General features: G+C 41.6%; 1 long non-coding RNA gene across 1 annotated transcript in view; it reads right to left on the bottom strand.

Moving 5' to 3' along the window:
• The window catches only part of LOC107985905 (uncharacterized), a 134,425-nt gene extending 110,215 nt beyond the window's left edge, over nt 1–24,210 (bottom strand). Inside the window, exon 1 of the long non-coding RNA XR_001739572.1 lies at nt 24,140–24,210. This is a non-coding gene — a long non-coding RNA (uncharacterized LOC107985905). The remainder of the gene's footprint in view (nt 1–24,139) is intronic.
• Between the last annotated feature and the right edge of the window lie 234 nt (nt 24,211–24,444).

Here is a 24,444-nt window from a genome sequence, read left to right on the forward strand (position 1 = left end):
TTTCCCAGGGTTATTCCTTGTTGAGAAAAGAATTCAGTGATATTTCTTCTATTTGCTTTCTGAAAGAAGAGAAATATGACTCTTTTCTGCCCAGCCCCACAGGCAGTCAGACTTTATGGTTATCTCCCTTGTTCCCTGAAAATCACTGTTATCTTGTTCTTTTCAAGATGCCCAGATTTCATATTGTTCAAACACACATGCTTTACAAACAATCTGTGCAGATAACGCAATCATCACAGGGTCCTGAGGCAACATACATCCTCAGCTTAGGAAGACGAAGGGATTAACAGATTAAAGAAAGGCACAAGAAAATTATAAGAGTGTTGATTGGGGAAGTGATAAATGTCCATGAAATCGTCACAATTTATGTTCAGAGATTGCAGTAAAGACAGGTATAAGAAATTATAAAAGTATTAATTTGGGGAACTAACAGATGTCCATGAAATCTTCACAATTTATGTTCTTCTGCTGTGGCTTCAGCCAGTCCCTCCGTTCGGGTTCCCTGACTTCCCACAACACAATATATGAGAAAGCACGTATAGCTACTGTGCCTGTGCACCAAGAACATGCTTACTAGTAACACCTCTTCCCACCTACTTATGAATAGTCATGTAAGACTCCCATGAAGGGAGTCTCCCTAGTGCCAGTCTTTGCTGTCTCATCTTTATGAGCAGCTTGCCCTGAATCCTCTCTGTATTCTGCACCTAGCTTTCAGAATATTCTTCTCCTTTGCAATAAGTTGCTGTGTGCTGCATCTCCTTTGCTGTGCATCTCATGTGTAAACTCTTTTAAACTAAGAAACAAGAACTGAGGTTTCACAACAGCCATTGACAGTGTGAGTAGAGCAATAGTTTTGCCTTTTAAATACTTAATCTGCCTGCCTCAGAGGTTGCTTATATAAAGGTCATATAAAAACAGTATACAGAGCTGATAAACTGTAACTCCCATGTGAGTGCATGGAAAGTGGCATTTGTGTCTATTTAGCATTCCCATGGCTCTGAGAAAAATTTTTAAAAATATCATCTTGTTCTCACTACGCAGACACTACCTGTGTCCATTGCTCAATCTTGCATTGGTTTGCTTGCTAAGAAGGAGAAAAGTCACTGGTCCTCAGAATCTTGAAAGACAAAGTTCTACGAGGTGAATTAAGCCATTTATACTTTGAAATCCTCCCATGAGAACTGGTGTTACCAGCCATCCTCCAAACGTGTCTGAATTTCTCCTCTCTTTCCTGTTCTCTTTTTCTTCTTACCCCATTTTTCCCTCATTTTTTTCTGGATTTATCTTGCTGACTCACTGATTTATTTATCCACTCATCAATGCTTGTGCCCACCTAAGTCCCTACTATGCCCTACTAAAACCCTGGACAGGTTCTCTTTCATGTAATGGGTCAACACCACCAGCTGAGGGACCACGGATGGGTTGTTATACAGCAGGTGTTCCAGAAACATAATGTTTTGTTATTCTCCATGCCTTCCCTGTGCCTTGTACTTGAGGATGGTAACATGGGGCTTGTTGAGTCCTCCATGTATGTAAAGTCTAGTCCTTATGTTTTTGTTTGAAAGAAGCTGAGTAAAATCCCTATTTAGAAGCACATAAAAGATATAGCTAAATGCCACAGAGTGTCTGCTATAGGGATCTCTCAGGGGGGATTTTCAATAACTTCTTCCCTAGTAGGATAATGTAATTTGTCTAAACACAAAGAACTAGTACATGGCTAGGATTTGAACCTTGGTCTGACTCCAAGCCCTACACTCTCAATACTAAAATGAGGGCAAAGCCAATGAGAAAATCATGAGTGTCCTCTTGTCAGCAGCTGCCTCCAGGAGAGAGGGAAACAACCAGTGGAACCAGAGCTTAACTGCTCCTCCTACCGGCCCCCCACCACCCTGCCAAGCATTAGCAGCTCCTGAGTCCAAAACAACCACAGCAAACCTTTACCTTTGAAACTTTGAACAATACTTTACCCTCCACCAAGAAATTGCCTAACTTGCATCCTCACAGCAATGGAGAATAGGGGTTCCTGGTCCCCTTTCACAGGATAGTGGGTTGAATGGCATCCCCCAAAAATCCATGTTCATTAGAAACCTCCGTATGTGACCTTATTTGGAAATAAGGTCTTGCAGATGTAATTAAAAATTTCAAGATAAAATTATCTTGGATTTAGGGTGGGTCCTAAATCCAATGACTTGTATCTTTATAAGAGAAAGGAGAGAAATACTTGGATACCCAGAGAAACCCAGAGGAAAAGGCCGTGTAAAGATAGAGGCAGAGATCAGATGGCAGCCCTAAGCCAAGAAGCACCAAGGATTTCCTGCAGCCACAAGAAGCTGAAAACCACCAAGAAGGGATTCTCCCTAGAGCCTTCCCAGGGAGCATGGCCCTGCCCTGTGAATTTCAGGCTTCTAGCCTGGAGAAATGTGAGAGAACATGCTTCTGTTGTTTTAAGCTACGAGGTTTGTGGTCCTTTGATATGGCAGTCTAGGAACCTCACAAACGTGGTGAGAACACTGAGGCTCATAGATGCTACCTGACCAACCAAGAGCACAGGATAAGTGAGAAAACTCAGGGTCATAGCTTGGGTTCCCTGATGAGGATTAGGGCATAGGTAATTTACTGGGGTAAGTACAGCAATGAAGTAAGGGAAGAGAATAAAGTAGGCATTATGAAGCCAGCAGCCACAGTGGAGAACCGAATCATAATTCCACAGGCAGGTTCTAGAAACAGTGCAGATAACTCACCTCGTAGTTATCACCCCAAGGGGTGAAGGAGCAATGGGCATTTATGCCTCAACTCCCATGAGTCATGGGTGAGGACTGCTGGGGCACAAGTTGCTGCCCAGCCTTTCTGGCCTGACATAAGTGCAGGTCCAGTGGCTTTCTGCCGCTTTGGGGCAAGCTCTCAGACAGAGAGAGTGGCTACTAGGAATCAAGTCAGGAGCACCCAGGCATGGGAAGATCTAAAGGGTCCAGGCAGTGTCTGGACCTCTTTTATTCCATCTGGGTCATGGATAAGGAGAAGCTGTGTACTCAGACACCTTTTCCCTAAATGATAGACATAGGCAGAAATGTTGGCTACAATACCTCATAAAGCTGTTAATTTACACTCCTCCAAAGCACTGTGTTACTCACCACTTAAAACCTGCTTATTTCCTGACTGTGCTGCAAATTCAGCAATCAGTGATTTCCGCAAGTTAACACATATTCTAATTCTCCATGCTGGACAAAGAAAGGAGTAAATCAATATCCAGTGACAAACAATACTGCGTAAAACAGATGGATACGTGTAGACCACAGGATATTAGTCCTCATCTGAAATTTTATTCATAAAGTTACAAAATCCCAAAGCTACATCTGTTCACATGAAGCCTTCTAATTCCTAGGGACATAAGAAATTCCATACTGGGCATATCTAATCCAGGAGCCTCTCTCTAAAGGTATAGCCTGGTGTGGATTCTGAGAAGTGAAAATTGCCCTCCATCTAAGTCAAATCATTAGGAATAAGAATACTTAACTTCCCTAAAATCCAGTTGCTATGAATGCTATACATAAATATTTGCTTAAATATTCTTTAAACCTGTTTATCATTTTAAGATATAACCCTCTTTATGAGAAACAAGTTTCATAAACTTAATCTTAACTTCACCTGACCAAGTCTTACCTCCCTTACAATATAAGGCGGAAACTCTTAGTTCTGGTATAAATAGCTAATAGGAAGAACAGTATCTTTAAAGCATTTAATGAGCACTTATAACGTATCAGATACACTGTTAAACCATTTTCATATTTTATTTAATCCTTACATAAACTATACAAGGTAGATACCATTACTTTGTTATTTTGCAGATGAGGAAATTGAGGATTAGAAAGGTGAAGTTGCTTGCAATCACTCAGCTAATGAAAGGCATATGCTTTTCCTGAGGGACTGCAGTAACAGACAGTCCTAAACAAAGTATAAAGAAATGAATAACACACACTCCCTGCCCTCAGGATCACTTATAGCAATGATAACAGAAGACAGACAGCTACCTACAACATACGGCAGAATGCCCTCCGCCTGCTTCTGTCGTAGTTTGCTTATTCCCCACCAGCATGGGGTAGAGTGTTTGTAAGAGGCCCATAAAGCTTTAAAATCCCAGACACCCAGATTACACAGAGGACAAATTAAATCAGAATCTGGGGGAATGGGACAGAGTTAGTCCCGGCATCAGTAATTGTTAATGCTCGCCAGGTGACTTCAGTGAGCATCTAGGATTGAGAATTGCTGTGCTAGGATTGATAATATACAATTCAGAAGTGACTTCCGTAGAGCATAGTATGGGGTTAATTTCAAACTCTATCTGGACATTTTATTTTAGCATATATCACAGCCAGAGCTTGTGTGCTTGATCTCCTGTGCTGAAATTATGCTTTTCCAGGAGACAAATGTGCAGCCAAGGGTGAGAAGCACTATCCTACTGTTGCAGGAAAGTGTTCTGGGATTTCTTGGAGGAAAGGAAGGAGGGCGAGGTCTGAGCAGGTCAGGCTCAGAGCCACATATCACGGCTTGAACCTGAGCATCTCTGTTTTTGTCTTGTTTATATCGTGGGTCTCTGCCTCAGGTTTCTGGAAAAGAAAGGGCTCTGTTGCTGCAGAAATAAGTGTGAAAACCACTGTCTTAAAGTTCTTAGATGTCAAGAGTCCACAGGGTTTTTGTGTCAAGAAAACTATTTCTCAGCATCATCTTCAGGGTTACCTACTGGCACTTTGGTTACTGAAGTTCTTACGTGCAATTGCTGAAAAGCAAAGAATTGCTGGAATTAGAAAAATACCATAATTTAACGAAAGTGTCAATGAATACCATAAACTCAGAGTTTACAGGAGCCTTCACATATTCATACACTGCATATTTATTGTCTACTATGTTTTAGATGCTGAGGATACACCTTGAAGTTGACAGACAAGGTCTGGCTTTTAGGAAGTTTCTATTCTATTAAAATACAATTTAATCAGGCACAGTGGCTCACACCTGTAATCCCAACACTTTGGGAGGCCCAGGTGGGAGGATCACTTGAGTTCAGGAGTTTGAGACCAGCCGGGCAATACAGTGAGACCCCATCTCTAAAAATAATAATAAAAATAAAATTTGTAGCATGCCATTGATTTGCACTGGGTTCCTAGCCCAACAGCTCAAACCAATATGTGGTAATTCATGCTAAATGAAACAAATTAATTTAGAAGTATACTCATGTAACAAACAGCTGAACTTCAGTCAATGGTAGGTGGTCAGCTGATTCAAGTAAGACAAAATGCTGAGCTATAACTAAGTTGTTCTTTTTACCTCACTTCCCTTTTCTGTCCATAAATGCTGCTGTCTGATCATGTAGCACACAGAAGCTCTTTGACCCTGTTCTGGTTCTGGGGGCTGCCAGATTCACTTCACTAATCATTTTTGTTGTTGTTTTTTGGGTTTTTTTGCTCATAGAAACTCTGATAAATTTAAACTTGAGATTTTTCCTTTTTAACAATTCTAATGGGGAAGACAAGCAAGGGACAAATGTATAAATGAGATAATATGCATAATACACATCTTTCATTCTCAGGCCTGTCTGCATGGAGCCCTGTAGAGGAGGGGCTCTGCCAGGTGGTGCTCCTGCTCAGTCCCCCCTGCTTCAGAAGAGTCACTTTCCTTTCTAGCAAGGCCGGCGGGTCCTCTGCAGCTCAGTCCATGGGGGTCAGCTGGCATGTGCCACTACTGCTGCTGCTGTGGCCCCCTGTCCTCAGAAGCTTATCTGAGATCTGATGGAGTCTGAGAACCAGCTTGCCTTTGAGGGGCACCCAGAGGTCTTGGTTTCTCTACATCAGAAGGGTCCTTTGCTAATGAGGAGTTCACCTTGAGAGGTCTTTACCTCCCCAAGGCTACTTGGCTTCCATACATTTTTGAAGTATCCAAAAGCCCATCCTGTGAGAGATGATCACTTAAACACATCTTGTTGCTTCATATCTGCAACCTCAGATATCCAAGCCATTAGAGGTGTTCTGGGATTCACCCTAGAAAGAGGATTCCTGAATGTGTCATTTCTGTATGTGTCTGAATAAACAGTCACAAATGATTAGAGCTTACTGGGTATACTAATATATCCCACAGTCTGATTTTAAAGCTACAGATAGGTGTTAATGTAGAGAGACACCATCTATAATCCGATGAATGAATTGAATGAATATATAAGAAAAAATTTGTAATAAGCACATCAGTGTTAGCATACACATGAGAATGTCAAAGGTAGTTCAAACTCCGTTTAAACAATCTGCTCTCCTAAACATTGCCTTGTTCTTAATATCCTTTTGTAACCTCAGTAAAAAAAACAAACAAAAAAATACCACCTATCTCCTATGGATATAAGCACAAATATCAAATGAATAAGCTGAAAATTAATGAGTTTTCTTTTTCTTTAAATGGCTATACAAAAGCTTCAGTCTTCCCTTGTCAAATCATCAGGAATTTCAGGCACATAACTTTCATTCTGATGGGTTCATCTCACAGAATAAAAGACTTGCTTATAAAACAGCATTATTTTCTTCTCTTATTGAAAAATGTGTACACACTTCAAAGTTAAAAACAAAAGTTTCTTAAAGCACAAAGAAGCAACTTAAAATCACTCCAAAATTCTTAGCTAAAATACAAAGATTAATTATATGGAGTCTTTCCTTCCAGTCTTAAATGTTATATTTTTACAGGAATAACAATTTTTGCTAAGAACCTGAACTAGCACACATCAGGACAGAGTTGCATAATTAGTGGCTTGGAAAAAGATAGCAGTCACTCTTTAGCTACCAAATTGGCAAGATCAGAAATGAATGGCACCATAAAGATCTCACGTCTTTCATTAATGCTTAAAGCTGAGACTTTATTTATAAGGAGATTCTAAATTCCAGGCCAGTCTCACCGGGCTGTCCTTGATAGAGGTAGCCTGTTTGTCATGTTAATGAAGAGAAAATTTCCAGTTCTGAGTTCCACAAAGACTGTTCTCCCCCACCTACAGCTAAAGAGGGAGAAAAATGTCAGCAGGTAAGGGGTAGAATTGGAGTGAACCACTTCCTTACCTTTGGGAGCAGCTGGCCTAATGTCAATGTCAAGGGTGGGGCAGTTCCAGCTCCATCAGAGGTGACTGCACCATGACAGGCAATGCTCATAGGCAAATCCACAGCTCAGCACTTGACAGGCTGGAATATTATCTATCCCAGTGCTTCTCAAACTGGAGCAGCATCAGAATCCTGGCAGAGGGCTTTTAAAGCACAGATTGGGGCCAGGAAGGGTGGTTCACATCTGTAATTCCAGCACTTTCGAAGGCCGAGGTGGATCACTTCAAGCCAGGAGTTGGGAACCAGCCTGGGCAACATAGCAAGACCCTGCCTGTACTAAAATATATATTTAAAATTAAAACACACACACACGCACACACACACACTCACACAGATTGCTGAGCCCCACCCCAGGGTTTCTGATTCAGTAGGTTTGAGAATTTGCATTTTTTTATTATTATTATATATTTTTTTAAAAGATGGAGTCTCACTCTATTGCCCAGGCTGGAGTGCAGTGGCAGAATCTCAGCTCACGACAACCTCTGCCTTCTGGGTTCAAGCAATTCTCCTGCTTCAGCCTCCCATGTAGCTGATACTACAGGCATGTGCCACCATGCCCAGCTAATTTTTGTGTTTTTAGTAGAGACGGGGTTTCACCATATTGGCCAGGCCTGTCTCAAACTCCTGACCTCAAGTCATTTGCCCACCTCGGCCTCCCAAAATGCTGGAATCACAAGTGTGAGTCACTGCGCCTGGCCAAGAATGTGCACTATAACAAGTCACCAGGTGATGCGAATCCCAGGGGGTTCCAGGACCACGCTTTGAGAACCACTAGTCTATCCTGATGTTTGCACTGTTTAACATAGAAGTTCAAAACCCGGGCTTTACAGTCTGTCAGACCTGGTTTTTATTCCTAATTCCATCAATTAATAGCTATGTGAACTTGGGCCAGTAACTCAATTAATCTGAGCCTCTATTTTCTCACAAGTAGAATAGGAATAATTGCAGGGTTGTTCTAAGAAATGGATCATGTAATGTGTAAGTGCTTACACTTATGAAGCATTGCCAGCTTCATAATAAACATTTAATACATGATTATTAGTCTTTCTATTCAAGCCCTACCTCAACACCCTCCTGGAATCTTTCTGCACCTGTTCCTATTGATCTCTTAGTCCTCTAAAATGTTGGTTCACTTGCTTTCCAACCCGCTCTGTGGTAAGGAAACTCCATTTCCCCACCCCCATAGAGCCTCCCGACTCCACTAGCAAGTGGGTAATCCTCTGCTGCCACCTTGTGGCCTTCCTTCGCCTCACGCATTGCAGGCTAACCTTGTCAAGGTGGCGTTTCTGGGACTGCAATCCAGTAGCTGAGCATAAGCAAAGGAGCCAGACGTGGTGCCCGCTCAGTCTGCTCAGTCGATGTGAGGACTGTGAGGAAGGGTTCCCAACAGGACAGTCCGAAGGACACCCAAATCCTGAGGGCTACAGAATAACAGAAAGGAGCTGGAATCAGCACCAGGAGAGCAGGAGAGCGACCTGGCTGTGATCTCAGGTGAGTCTAGAGGCCCCGCTGAGCTCACTCAAGGCCTGGCCAGTGCCCTTCTATGCAGGACCCCAGGACACCTGCCTGTAGACATTTCTGAGGATTCCAGGGATCTCGAGCATATCCCTTCAGATCCCTCTTGCTACTGAGGTGGCCAAAGTCATGTGTGTCTAGGACAAGGCTATTAGAGGGTCCCCAGTAGTCCCATGTTGAGACCATAGTCCCAACTCCGAATGAAGACTGTTCATTGTAGCTGGTTTGGAATAGAAACCCAGTACTTCGGTGAAGAAAGCAGCAGGACAGAGCGATGTGAGCAATGAAATGAAGACTCAAGTTGCTCTTGTCTTTTATTCCCATTACTCCTTTTCCCTGGTACAAGTGTCTTAATGAGGGGGGTTGACAGCTCGATGGTGGGGGGTGGGTACAAATACAAACGGTATTTTTTTTTTTCAGGGATAGTAGGAAACACCTCTTTCCAGGAGCACATCACACCTGAGGTTCACGGTAGTGATAACTCTCTCCCCTCCTTGTGTTCTCATCCCTTAGAGCAATGAACAATGAACCAGAAGGTAGGGTGGAGAGTGAGGATGACACCTGGGATGGCAGCCACAGACCAGGAAGGCTGAGCTGGGAAATTGGTGCATTTTTTGGCTTCTCTCTTTAGAACATGGGTTATTTGGGGCCTTTTCATCCTCATTTTTGGGCCCCCAGGCACCAATTCTGAGAAACAGGAAAAGTTGCACTCAGCATCTCCTCCCTAGACCATGCAATCCGGCACACACTCAGACCCCTGAAAGAAATAAAAAGCAAAGCATTCCGATCCTTCTCCAGGGGATGGCATTTGTTCTCCTTCTGCAGAGGCTCATTTTAGATTTGCCTCAATGTAATATGCATAAGAAGTTAAGTCACCAGGGGCACCCCTTCCCCTCTCTAGAAGAAAGCTAAGACAAGGAAGGGGTTAAACAAAGGAGTAGGGCAAAACAGACACAGGCAGAGGAATGTAAGTTCTGCTGGTGAATCTGGGAGTAGGGGGGGTTATCTACCAACAATTTTCTACCCCTTAACCAGACATAAGCCTTGAAAATTGACTTCTTTAAGGCATTTAATCATGCTATCTCACTTATTATAAAGCATGCAACAGTTTGACCAAGGTCTTTTTTACATTCATTAATTCACATGGGTTTTAAATCTTGCAACAATTCTCTTGCATTGGTAGAGCAAACATCACTTATTCACTGATAAGAAAAATGGAAGCTCCAAGATACTAAATGGCTTGTCCAAAATCACAGAGCATTAGTCTCTCTCCGAGGGCAAAGTATTTATATCCAAAACTATAAACTTATACAGCATCTAGCTAGTTAACCAGCTTCAAGCACTTCAAGCAAGGCCTTGAAGGAATAAGGAATAGGGAGTGTGTGAACATTGTGCATATAAGTTTGGGTGAAGGAAGCAAAGTTGCAGAATCAAGACTGATGTGCAGGAGAGTGGCTTGATTTGCTAGCAGTGGGCAGTCAGAAAGGAATATGACTCCTGGGTGCTGGGACAGAAGGTGAGTGGAAGCTTTGTAGATTATCAACCAACAGAAGGCAAACTCTTCATTTACCTTATTTTACTTTTCCTCCTCATATAGATCCAAGTATGCCCAGTTGCACCATGGGAAAAATCTCTTCTCAAAGCCAAAACTATCTGAGGTGGGGGAAAAGATCCTAAAATACTTTTAACCATTTTTGTGTGGTTCTAACTTGTCTAAGCAGCAAAGAAACTTTCCTTTGTTAACTCGGGGGCGTCAAAGCCAGCTTTGTTTTCATGCCTAGTATTGATTTGGATCCTCCGGGGGGGGTCTCTTGACATCTCTCCACACCTTGCCTGATGAAGCCAGCAAGTCCAATAGGCTTCTCACTCACTGACAGACTGAGATGTTCAGAGCCCCTGTCTGGCATAACAAAACCTCTCTAGGGCAGAGTGAGGAGCTGAATGCCAAATCTCCACACAGGGCTTATGAGATCCTTCTGACATCATCATTTTTCTAGCCTGGAGAAAGGACTGGTGAAGGGAACACAGGACTTTTGTGTTCTCTGCTCCTAACAGACATAAACTCTTGAGAGGCAGCCCTTCACCGTGCGCTCCCTGAAAGAGGCTAGGCTGGACCAGCCATCAACCATCCTAGTTCCCAGCCTGACCCTGCCCTCCACAAGCTAGGTTACTCTGCCACTTCCCTTCTGGCCTCAGTTTCCACATCTGTCCAACAAAGGCTGGATGGAAGATTTCTAAAGCCCTCCTCAGCTGTCTTTTCTCTTTGGTGCTATGACTGGTTAAATTCCTCATTTCTTTCATACCTGCCTTTGACACAGTGTTTAGGTTTTCAGCCATTAAACCCTGGTGTGTCTGAAGGAGTAGCAAGGAGAGATCAGCCAGCCAGAGGGTTTCAACAAAAATACCTCACATGCTTGACAAATATTTACCAGCCAAAATGATATAAACTTATTCTACATACAAAGTCTGATGTTTTCACAATATAATACTCAAAAGTGGTTTTCTTTTGAGACGGAGTCTTGCTGTGTCACCCAGGCTGGAGTGCAGTGGTGGGATCTCAGCTCACTGCAACCTCTGCCCCTCCAGGTTTTAAGCAATTCTCTGCCTCAGCCTCTGGAGTAGCCGGGACTATAGGCATGTGCCACCATGCCCGGCCAATTTTTTGCATTTCTAGTAGAGATGGGGTTTCACCATCTTGGCCAGGCTGGTCTCAAACTCCTGACCTCATGATCCACCTGCCTCAGCCTCCCAAAGTGCTGGGATTACAAGCGTGAGCCACCATGCCTGGCCTCAAAAGTGGTTTTCAATGTTTGATACAGACACCTGGCAACCAGAGCTCAGAAGAAATGTGTACTTTTTTTTTTTTTTTTCTGAGACGAAGTCTTCGCTCTCGTTACCCAGGCTTGAGTTCAATGGTGCAATCTCAGCCCACTGCAACCTCCGCCTCCTGGGTTCAAGCAATTCTCCTGCCTCAGCCTCCCTAGTAGCTGGGATTACAGGCACCTGCCACCAAGCCCAGCTAATTTTTTTTTGTATTTTTAGTAGAGACGGGGTTTCACCATGTTGGCCAGCCTGGTCTCAAACTCCTGACTTCAGACGATCCACCCACCTCGGCCTCCCAAAGTGCTAGGATTACAGGCGTGAGCCACCGCGCCTGGCCCTAAGTGTGTACTCTTGGGGCGCTCGTTTAGCTTTGTGGGCTAGGGATTATGGTGCATTATCTGATAAATTAGAGGAAAATTTTACTTTATCTGAGAAACATATTTGCAGCCAGTCTCAGACACACTAAGTCACAGAAGAAAGAAGAATCAAAATAAAGAGAATTCTGCTGTCAGCTGTTTCCCCTCTTGCTTTACCTAAAAAAGCAGCCATCTGTGCCCTGAGGCAGACATGGCAGAATGTGCTTACTCAACACCTGACCCCCGACTCCTGACCCCTCAAAACACACACTGGGAGCTTAGAGCCTGCCCCCAGGCTGCCTCTCCCCACCCTTTACTCCTCAAAATACATACTGAGAGGGAAGGGGATGCCTGCAGCTGGTCCAAACTGCTTCTCTTGGACTAAGATATATTTACCCGGGGGTGTCAACAGCGTGGGAGTGGAGAGAGCAGGCAAAGGGGAGCAGGGAGGTCCTATGGCCTTGCAGAGGACAAAACCACAAATCCCTGGCAAGTGACCTGGGTTTTAAGACCAAATGAAGCAAGGCATTTATATTTTTACATTTTTAATGGACAAATAGTAATTGTGTATCTTTATGGGGTACAATGTGATGTCACAATATATGTATACACTGTAGAATGATTAAATCCAGCTACTCAGCACACACATCATCTCACATACTTAGCATTTATTTATGGTGCAGGCAAGGCGTTTAACCTCAGTTTTGTCATCCATAAAATAGGAATAAAAATAGCTATCGTGAATAGTGCCGCAATAAACATATGTGTGCATGTGTCTTTATAGCAGCATGCTTTTTAGTCCTTTGGGTATATACCCAGTAATGGGATGGCCGGGTCAAATGGTATTTCTAGTTCTAGATCCCTGAGGAGTCGCCACACTGACAGCATGGCACATGTATACATATGTAACTAACCTGCACATTGTGCACATGTACCCTAAAACTTAAAGTATAATAATAATTAAAAAAAGGAAAAAGAAAAAAAAGAAAATAAACAATAAACAATAGTGAAAAAAAAATAGCTGTCACACAGGACAGTTGGGTTTCTCCTCCCTTCCTCACACTCCAAGCAGTGCCTGGCAGAGGGAAATAATTTGATCCACATTTAGTGAGTAAACTTCACATTTTGTCCAGAGCCAGGTTGAAGCCCACAGATAAAATCTCGTTATCTTCCCCTGGAGGCTCTCTCTCTAAAGCTGAAAGATGAATCCAGGGTACATCAGTTGGGATTTTACCTAGGTCTGTAGCTCCTGTGTCATCCTTTTCTCTTTTGTAGATCTCAGGCCTCCCAGCAGAAGCCTGTGTTTTCCAAAACAGAAGACAGATGAAAAGACCCGCAGGCTACAAAGAGGGCAGATGCTGCCCTTCTGAGAGAACGGCCTCCTCTCGCGTCTACGGAGCCCACAGTTCTCATTGTTCTGGATGTGGGGTAGAAGATTCCTGTGTGGTATAAATGTGCCATCTCACATCAGTCACAGGATAAATGTGGGCTCTCAAGTGCCAGATTTTATCTAAGGGACAAAAATGAGAGGAAGAGAGGAAGAGGGAGAGAAAGCTCCAGCCTCCCCCCTGCCAAAGCCTCAAGAATCAGCAATTTTTGCCTTTTGCCATTTGATTGACTTTAAGTCACCATTTAGAAGGGAAAACAGAACATCAACAGGAAAACCTTGAACCACCTGTAACCCTTCATCTGGAGCTAAAAATGAATTTTATTTCACTCTCTCACAGCAGCCTGCAGGTAGAAGCAAGGTCTCTACTTCAAAGGGACTGAAGGAAAGATGGGGTGATTCTTCAGAAAGCCCCACACAACCAGGCAGGGCTCCATTCAATAATATAACTGCAGGAAGAGATATACTCTTGTTCTCTGGCTGGACCTCATGGTGATATGGTTGTTAGTAATGAAAAAGCAATAGTCCTGCTAATTTCCTTTAATTCAACTCACCTGTTTTCCTAGTAACTAAAGCCACAGATAATTATCTCCTTTGCCTGGAAAGCTCCTATTTCCCCTCCACCTTCCTTTGAAGTCTTCCCTAACTCTGGTTCCACTGTGCTCCCAAACCAGTAATGGGGCACTGCTCAATGAAAATATAATGTTAGCCACAAGTAATTTTGAATTTTCTTGTAACTACATTTTAAAAAGAACAAAGAATCAGATGAACCTAATTTTAATACTACATTTTATTTAACTCAATATATCCAAAGTACTATCAATTTAATATGTAATCAACATTTTTAAATATTAATATTTTAGGCCAGGTGTGGTGGCTCGTGCCTGTAATCCCAGTGCTTTGGGAGGCCAAGGCAGGAGGATTACTTGAGCCCTGGAGTTAGAGACCAGCCTGGGCAACATAGCAAGACCCCATCATTACCAAAAAATTGAAAAATAAATTAGCTGTGCATGGTGGCATTCGTCTGTGATCCCAGCTAGTCAAGAGGCTGAGGCAGGAGGATCTTGAGCCCAGGAGTTCAAGATTATAGTGAGCTATGATCGTGCCACTGCATTACAGCCTGGAGGACAGAGTGAGACCCTGTCTCTTAATATATATTTTACATTCTTTTTTTTCATTCTAAGACTTCAGAGTACAGTGCGTGTTTTACACTTGGAGCACATCTCAGTTCAGACTAGGCACATTTCCAGCACTCAGTAGCCACATGTGGCTAGAGGCTGCTGAATGACAGCACTGCCCTAATAGAACACTTAGCACATTTTTCTGAAATGCTTTGTTTACAAGTTCATCTGCCCTATTACAGTGGAGCTCCTTAAGAACAGAACCATTAACAGTGATCAATTCATTGCAGTTACATCATAACTCTATGTAGAATGATAGACCAGAGTAATTCATAAATCAATGTCACTACTAACCACAGATAGAAGAGGAGAGAAAGGGAATGTATTTGGCATTAAGGATTTTAAGTTAGAAGCACTATGAGACCCTTGCAGTATGATGCTCAGAAATAAGTCAGAGATAGAGATGGGAGATCAGAAAAGGAACAGGATGAAAAATAAAGGTTAGGGAGGCATGGTTTGGGAAGGTTACTTTCACCATAGAAAGCACAAACACTCATCCACGCATTTCACATAAAAATGCTGTGGGCCACCTCTGTGGAAAATCATAATATGTATCATGAGAAATTAACCTCAGCATGCAGATGCACTGCTTCCCTCCTGTAGTTAATTACTTGGGGCAGGTCCTGGACAAGCCTGGGATATGGGTGAGATTCATGTGCAATGTCCTTCTATACAGCAGGGTTCTCCCCCTCTGAGTAGAAGTCCTCCCTCTTCCTCTCACCCCACTCCCACAATGGTCAATACCCTCAACAGAAAAACAAGTCTCTGGCAGACTCTCTCACATTACGGCAGAGCTTCTCAAACATTAATGTGCATATGTACCCGGGGACCTTGTTAAAATGTAGATTCTGACTGAGTAGGTCTGGGGTGAAGACTAAGATTCTACTTTTTAAGATGTTCCAGGAGATGCTGATGCTGCTGGGCCATGGGCCACACTTTGAGTAGCAGGGCACTGGGGGTTAAAGACCTATGTAAAGCTTTATCCAGCCTTAGGTTTTAAGAAGAGAATCCCAGAGAGAGCACTTTAGCCCACAGGAATACAAGAAATGATAGCATTTAAGTGATCAGATGGGACTCATGAGACATAAAATGTCCCCCGAATTCTGCAAAAAAAATACTACAGAAGCATTTCTGTTTATAGGTAAGGCCGTCTCATTAGTAAGCAGCACTTGTGGAATATTACAAATCATGCTGGAATCGAGGTTGAATTTGAATCCCCATCTGTTATACTTATTAGCCATTACCAGCCATGTGATGTTATGATTTATCACTTCGCTTCTATAAATCTAAGTTTCCTTATCTATAAAATAGGTATAATATCACAGAGGTTCTTTGAGTCTCAAACAAAATAGCATATGTGACATTACCTGGTATAGTACCTGACATATGTCTGAGTCTCAACAAATGCTTAGTAAATCTTAAGCAAAATATTTTCCAGTTACCTCTGTGAAGACAGCACTGGCATAAAATTGGTGGAGTATGAAAACAATTTTTAAGATGATACATATCTGCTTTTAAGTTGATCCAACCTTAGAGTTAGAATATTTGTCTTGAACTAAGTGTATCCACCTGTATAAAAGCAATGCAAACACATTTCAAGCAGATGCCTCAGGGAGCAGGCATAATTTCATCTTTACCTGTTTTTATATTTCTTTACTGTTGCCATGAGAGCATTTTAATAACCTCCGTGGAGTTGAAAGTGATGCAGGTAATTGCCATAAGTAATTGAAGGGCTATTAAAGCTAACAAACCTCTTCTGTGGAATACCTTGTTAAGCAGTGATCAGCAGAAAACACATAATCATCATGCACACTGTAAATTCAAGCCCCTTTTCCAGTTAAACTGAAGGGGGAATGTAGCCACATTACACATAAGAAGGGTGCAGATATTAAAGCCTTTCCTGTTCAGGTCTTGGGGTAGCTCAAGCCACAGATGCCCTGGCAATCTAATGAGACCCACTCCCTTCAGAAAAGGCAACTCCATCTCTGCTATAACTTCCCATCACCTAAACTGGCTGCTGATGTTTCCATGCATGCTTCTTAAGATATAAATCAAAGCATGTTTTAGCACAAAGCCCCAAAGTCCTGGGTTCTAGCCTTGGATCAGCGAATTGCTAGCTGTGTGACCTACAGCGATTCTTTTCACCTCTCTAGGCATGAACTGCTGCAGCTACAAAATGAAAAGAATTTATTGTGTGTCCTCAAAGATCTCTTTCAGCTCTATAATCCTTTGATCCTAAACAAATTCTATAGTTAGAAGCACTTTTTCTGACTATTTTAACTATCAAAAATATAACCATGAATCAAAAATAGGGTGCAAAGAAAGGAAAGAGAAAGATCCATGAAAAGCATAGGTCAATATTGCAAAGTCCACACGTTAAGCTTCCCAGAACCTCATAAGTCTGTACTCAGCATGAAGTTATTCTTCCTTCATATGCTGGCCTAATGAATTTGATTTCCTTTTTCACAAGGCTCACAACACAGTAGAAGAGGCAAAAAAAAAAAAAAAGGCAAGAATACTGACAATAATAAGTAAAAGGCCATAGGAAAAAAAAAAAAAACAGATAGAAAACTTCGAAAAGGCAGGGACTTTTTCTGGTTCACTGCTACATACCCAGTGTCAGGCACATAGTATGTGCACAAAACATGTTGGGTGAATGAATGAAAACAATACTTACAGAAAGCAGATAAAATTTGTGTAAGTACAGTGATCTGGGAGAGGCTCCTAATGATTGTTTCACATGCTGCAATTAATATTCATGCGGGTGGCTAAGACTCAGCAAGGAAAATTTAAGCTATGCTCAGCAAGCTCTCATTTAGATGAAAAATTACTATTTCTGGTTAAACATGGTATATTGAGCACTTGTTTATCTCTGTTCCCTCCAAATACTCTACTAAAAATCAAAGTGTGTCTGTGTGATCTCCACAAGGAAAAAGAAGAAAGGATCGACAGTGGACAAGAAATGCCAGCCAACATATGCAGGACTAGAAAACATCAAATAAAACTGTCAGAGCTGATAAAGCTGAACAGCAAGGGCCTGCAGAAGGGATCCAGTGAGAAACCAGCCAGGTGCACCTCAGATCTGTGGAAAACTCAGAAATCAGAGGTAGCCACACAAGAGGCACGAGGAGCTGGACTACATCAGGAGAATTTGTTTAAAGTCTGTTAAGAAAGCAGTTAAATTCTCAAGTTTCTTCTCCTACCTTGGCAGTAAACTAGAAATTTATTCAACAAAGAAAAGGATACAGAGGAAGTTTAGCCCAGGATTGCAGCAGATGGTAGGGAGAGGGACACATCTGAAAACAAGGGTGTGAGTGAGTCTACATACAGAACAAGGAGGCTCCAGGTTCCCTGACTCTCTGGGCTTAAAAATACTGGCAGCTTAGGGATATACCTCTCCCACTACCACCTTCCCAGGCAGGAAACTGGAGGATTGTTAGATGGCGAAATGGAATATACTCAGAATCTCCAGATTCTGACACTCAGGGTTCTCCCACAAACAGCTGGATCCCAACTAGCACATTATAATTGACAAGCTCTCCTCTACCCAAAAAGAGTGACCAGTCAGCTCTAATGTAATATTCTCAAGTATCAACAGACAAAAAAATACTAAAATTAAGCTCCAGGAAGAAAAAACAAGACTAAAACAAATTAACAGAGAAAACTCAGAGGAAATCAAGACAATGGATAGAGAAGAAAACTTTGTACAGAAATAATATCTTTAGAGAAATATAAATATTCATCCTTGGCAAAATAACAAGACATCATTTTTTAAGGAATAGAAAACAAATTAGAACTCTTAAAATTGGAAAATATGATATTTGAAATAAAAGATTCAACAGAAAAAAATTCAATAGAAAGTTTGGAATACAAAGTCAAGAGAATCTCTCAGAACAAAAAGACAGAGAGATAAAACAGTAGTAGATAAGAGGAAATTTGAGCGTCAATCAGTCCAAGAAGCCTAACCACAGTATAACAGAGTTCCCAAAAAAAGAGAGAACAGAGTAAAATAAAGAGAATTATCAAAATATTGATGCCCAAAGTATTCTTTTAACTGAGAAACATGGGTTTTTGGATTAAAATAGTCTATTGGCTCTTTATGACATATGAACGTATAGCACAATGAATAAAGAGGTTGCCCACACCATGTCACACTACTGCAAATTTTCAGAGCATCTAGGATAAAGAGAAGATACTAAAATATTCACGTCATAAATACCTAGTTCACAGAAAAAAAAAGACTGGAAATATGAATGTCATCAGATTTCTCAACAACATGTTCAAAGTTGGAAGTCAGTGGAGCAAGAGCTTCAAATTTGTAATGAAAACTTGCATCCCAGTATTCTACATTCAGCCAAATTACCAATTAAAGTGCGAAGAAAGAATAATACATATTAAGACTTTCAGGTTGTCAAAAAATATTGCTCACACATGCTTTCTCAAGAAGCTACTGGAGATGCTCTACTGAAATCAGGATATAACCAATGAAGAGAAAGAGATGGGGAGGCAGGAAATAAGAGATACATCCCGGGAGACAGGTAAAGAGAAGGGCCAGGGGACCAGCTGTAGAGAACACCCAGAGCACAGCCTGGAATAGGAGAGAGGACTCCTGAAGGAGTGTTTCCAAGAATAATGAAAAGCTGATGCTTCTGCCTGGTTGAGAAATAACAGTCATTGGTGTTGGGGAGTTTGAAAATAGTGATAGGAACACAGACAAACAATCAAGTAAGGAAAAAAATGAGTTAAGTATTAACTCTAGAAAGCAAAACATTCTGAACAAGAAAGGAAATGTAAGCACAAAATGCTAGGTGGAAAATTAGGAAAACATTTTACATTGTTTTATCTAAACTTTTTTTTTTTTTTTTTTTTTTTTGAGACGGAGTCTCTCTCTGTCACCCAGGATGGAGTGCAGTGGCGCGATCTTGGCTCACTGCAAGCTCCACCTCCCAGGTTCAAGCCATTCTCCTGCCTCAGCCTCCTGAGTAGCTGGGACTACAGGTGCCCACCACCACACTCGGCTAATTGTTTGTATTTTTAGTAGAGACGGGGTTTCACCATGTTAGCCAGGATGGTCTCGATCTCCTGACCTCATGATCCACCCGTCTCAGCCTCCCAAAATGCTGGGATTACAGGCGTGAGCCACCGCGCCTAGCCCTTATCTAAACATTTTTATATAATTTTACTTGGAAAACAGGAGGGGGAGCAAGGATGTTGGATTATGTAAGTATGCTAAATCCTCATCTTCGTAATAAGCCAATGAAAAGTGAAAAAATGATAAAATTTTATAAACCAAGAGCTAGCATTTGATTCAATAGAGTTTAGGGAGAAGTGGATCAGGAAACTGCTATTTTGTGTTTGGTTTTTGTTTTATTTTTCTTTTAACTTTAATTGTTTGATTTTGATAAAAATTTACTTTGGTAAAAAATTTTAAGCTACTTTAAAAATGAAGTCAGATATCATAAAGAGCCTAATAATTGCATGATGCAATCAAGTTAGAATGACTCTAGTGTGGGGATTATGGAAAACTGACCAGATCAGCAAAGTTGAGGGTGACCTGAGACACCATCAAAGTCCAAGAGGTCTTGTCCAAAGGGATGAGGCAAGATGCAATGAAAATAATCTGAGTTTTGTGCTTCTTGACATCAGGTAAGAGCACAAGTTTTTAATTCAGGGGCCCTAAATACGTCAAGAATTGAAGCAGGCCTCTGTCTTAAGAAAAATGGCCACGGAGAGTCATGGATTGGCCTCCAGTTCTGGAGACAATAGTTAGTCATTCAGGTCAGTCTCCGAAGTCTCTAATGGGGTAACTGAGCAGGAGGCACAAAGAAAAAAGGCCAAGAACAGCTACTGTCCAGGCACAAGATAGTATCAGCCTGGGAAGCAACAGCTCAGTGATTATGAAGGCATCCAAAGGCTTAAATCCAAACAACTGTAGCTGCAAACTCGGATTACAATTTCCACAGTGGCAGGGACTACATATGCACACCCAGGTCCACAGTCATTGGTCCTGAGCCTATGCAGGGTTGGGTCTGCAGATGGCAGACAACACCGGAGACAGAGAAAATGGAGCTGGCACAGGAAGTGACCTACAGAAGAAAAATATCTAACGCAGGCCAAAAAGAGTCCCTTCAAAATGGTTAAGTTTTATGCTAAGCTTTGGTACTTAAAACTTCCATTACATGAAATATTCACTTATGTAGAACAGCTCATTCCCCAGTAATATGAGATTAATGAGGCATCACTGTGCATAAAAACTACCGAACTGGCTCAGATCAATGGTCTGTCTTGTCCAGTATTTTGCCTTTTAAAGGACTTAAAAGAATATGCAATTTGGAGACAGAAGTATCTGGATTTGGGGCTTGTTTCTACCACTTTGAACTGCAAGACCAAGTTATTTATCTACTCCCAGCCTCAATGTACTCATCTGTAAGACCGCACTAATAATACCTTCTTCTTGGTGATATTGTGAAAATTCAACCAGATGCTATCTTTAAAAATACTTTATAGACTGTTCTGCAGTCTAAGTATGTGAATTAATGTAGCGGAATGATGTGCGAAAGCTTGCTTTTCATATGTATCCTGAAGATCATTCATCTCTTTTAAGAAATTCAATTGTTGACTTTTGTAGGAATGTATCTTTAAAAAATCCCAAAGCTGTGAATAATTTGGGGTCTCTGACTTTCAGAGGAAATCTTAGCATATTCAACTTCAAAAAAAATTAGCAGGGAAGTTAACTGAAATCTTGTGGTGAACAAAGTTAGGTCACAGAATCTAATGCCTTCCTGTGTCATCTCACTTCTTCACCCTTATATCTGAATCCTCCCCAGACCTGGGCTCTCTGCTTACTCGTGCTCTTAGCAAAGACCTCATGAACTGGGGTATTGTGCATGGGTCAGAGGCTTAATGGGGGCTAGAAGGAATTGTTGGGCTAAGTTAAATGGTTCTTCTTCATTACACATTCAATGAAACACTTTCTGGAAGGTCACATGAAGCCTAGGCCTTCTCACACTTCTCCAGATGGTGGTCTGCTGTGTCAGTCAGGCAGCTGACTGAGCAGATTCTGCTGTTTGGAGCTCATCACAGGATGGGGATTCTGAAGGTACAGGTTAGAAAGTGGGGAGCATTCAGCAATGTTTTGGTTAACAGTCTAATTTAAATTTTCACTTTTTTCTGCCTCTGTTAAAACACCATGGTAAAGTGGAAAAAGCACCCTAGTAGAAGCAGAGTTGAGTAAAGAGTCTGTCCTAACGCTGTCTTTGTTACCAGCCATGAGACTTTGGACAAACTACTTTTCCTCTGTGGGCCTCAGTTAGTACAAACGGTAAGTTTGGACTAGATCGCAGTTTTTAAATATGCCTTGCAGATTCTGGATTCCCCAGTGATACTTTGGGTCACATCTGGAAAGGTGGAGAAGAGAACAGTAAGGGCATGGAGGTAAAGGAGTGTGAGTCCATCCTCCAGATCCCATGTAAGAAGAACAGATTTATCACTCTCTATCTATTTCACACTAAGATTTTTGAAGGCAACACTCCCTGGATAAGACAACATTTGAAAACCACTGGATCATAGGTCCCCAATATTCCTTCCAATCCAATAGTTCTCTGACAAGCTAACATTCTCTGGCACTGGAGACATGAAATACACCACACAAGAAGATAAATTCTGGTCTTGGAAGTATAAGCTTCCAAGATGTGTCAAAACTTGCACACCTAGGGTAGCAATCCTGGCTGGAACTGTCTCATACATCTCCAAGAAAATAAATCTGTACTCAATAAGCATTTATTATTGCATAAACCATCATAATGTGCTAATGGGAAAAGATACAGCCTGCCCTTGTAGGGTTTGTACTATTAAAGAGGTGAGATTGAAACACCCAGAACAATTCCAGCTCAAATTGCCCCTCTCCCAAACAAAGAATATAAGTAAGTGACACTACCATACACAAACTCTGAATGTGTTTGCATGTAACAGTAGGGGAAAGCATAGGAGAAAATGGTTCAAGCAGTGAGAAAAGTCTTTATGGAAGAGGAAACAGTTGAGCTAAGCCTTGAAGAAAACATCTGAAGTCCAAGAACTAACCACTAGTTCTCAGACCCTTACAGGTTTCTAACTCTTTAAAGGTTTCTAACTCTGTAAACTTCAGTTTAGAAATGAGATCAGTGTTAACTAATCTTGCTGACCTGAAAAATATATTTTACAGCTGAACAGAGTTTCCTTCCCTCTGAAAAGCCTACATCCTTTAAACTTTATTCCTAAAAAGGTTTGAAAAGGGTTCTATGGCAAAGAGACACAAGCTTTATTAACCAATTATTGGCTACAGGGGTGCTTACATCATCACAACCCCCAGTTCCAGGTGGCTCAGCAGAGAGAGGGACTCCATCTGTTTGGGAGAAAGTAAGGAAAAAGACAAGAGTTCCTGCCTGGTAATCCAGATAATTCTTCCAGATTTTACCAATGATTCATATAAGTTATACCAGAAGAGGTGTAAATATTAGCAAAAGTAAGGTGTGTCTTACATATTTTCTTACCAAGGAATCTGAAAGACCTGATTTTTGGACAGGATAAAACTGTGATTTTATACAGAACCTTCATTCACACCAAAAACAGCATACAAGTGTTAACCTCACTCACAAACACCATAAATAGAACAGGGCTTGCACTACTGAGGATGTGAGATTGAAACACACAGAACAATTGTGGCACAACACAAGAACAGCTGAAGGGCTGAAGCCATGGATATATTGGGCTTGGGAGAGATAACGGTCCCCAAAGATGTTGGTATATCAAAGCCAGGCCCCTGGAGTAAAACTGGAGGTGGGTTTGGCATCTCTGTCTGTTACCTGGAGGGTAACAAGGCTGTGGCCAGTACCATATCCATGACTGTAACATGATGCTGCCTGAGAAGGCTAGAAGAAGCAGAGGCAGCTACCAGTGAACTCATAAATCTGCAATGTCCCTAAAAGAAAGCTCTAAGCCACCAGTATAACCCTGGTTCTGGAGCTTTGAGACGAGTGGAGGAAGCGACAGGGATGGGCACAACAAGAAAAAGGTCATATATATAAATATCCACCCCCTTAAACTCACAAACTAAAATTTCAAATCACATCAGCAAAACTAATGTCAGAAAAGATAGTCAACAAACTGAACAAATAACAGAGTTCCCTTTTGTAAGATTGTAAGAAATAATGCATGCTTCTGTAAAAGATGACTTTAAAATAGTATAAATCCTCAATGAGATAAAGAAATGACTAATATCCATATACCAAGAAAAATAAATTCTGCAACAAAAACAAGCAATTATGAATCAAGAACAGTTTAAGATTTTTAAAAGAACCCATCAGAAATACCAAAAATTATACCATAATTACTGAAGTAAAATAATCTTAGTAGGAAAGGATAAGTAAATGAGAAGAAAGTATTAAGATAAATTAGAACATATCAAGTAGAAAACATTTTTTAAAAAATATGTAAATTAGAAGTTATATACATAGGAAAATAGGCTACCAACAACCCACATATGGCCAAAACATGTTGCAGAATAAGAGGCCAGAAGAAAGAGGTGGAGAGTCAAGATTGATAGAGTTAATGAGGGAGAGGGAGCAAAGCAAGATGGAGGAATAGAAGCCTGTAACATTTGTCACCCCTCCATGCTGGAATACCAAATTTAAACAACTATCTGCATACAGAAAAGCACCATCTCAAGAACCAAAAATCAGACAGAGTCACTGGACACACCTGGGACCTGGGGATACTCACTTCCCTGAAAGGAAGAGCCTTAGGCAAGGCCCAATGCTATGCTGGTTTCAGGTCTGACCAAGCACAATCCCACTGGTGGTGGCCACAGGGGTGCTTACATCACCACACCCCCAGTTTCAGGTGGCTCAGCACAGAGAGAGAAACTGTTCATTTGGGAGACAGTAATGGAAAAGAACAAGAGTCCCTGCTTGGCAATACAGAGAATTCTTCCAGATCTTGTCCAAGATCAACAAGGTGTTACTTTGGTGCAAAACCATACCATTATTGAGCTTGGAGCCCAAGTCCCTTCAAATAACAGGAAAGCC

Source organism: Homo sapiens, chromosome 2 (assembly GCF_000001405.40).
Source record: "Homo sapiens chromosome 2, GRCh38.p14 Primary Assembly".
Classification (NCBI taxonomy): domain Eukaryota; kingdom Metazoa; phylum Chordata; class Mammalia; order Primates; family Hominidae; genus Homo; species Homo sapiens.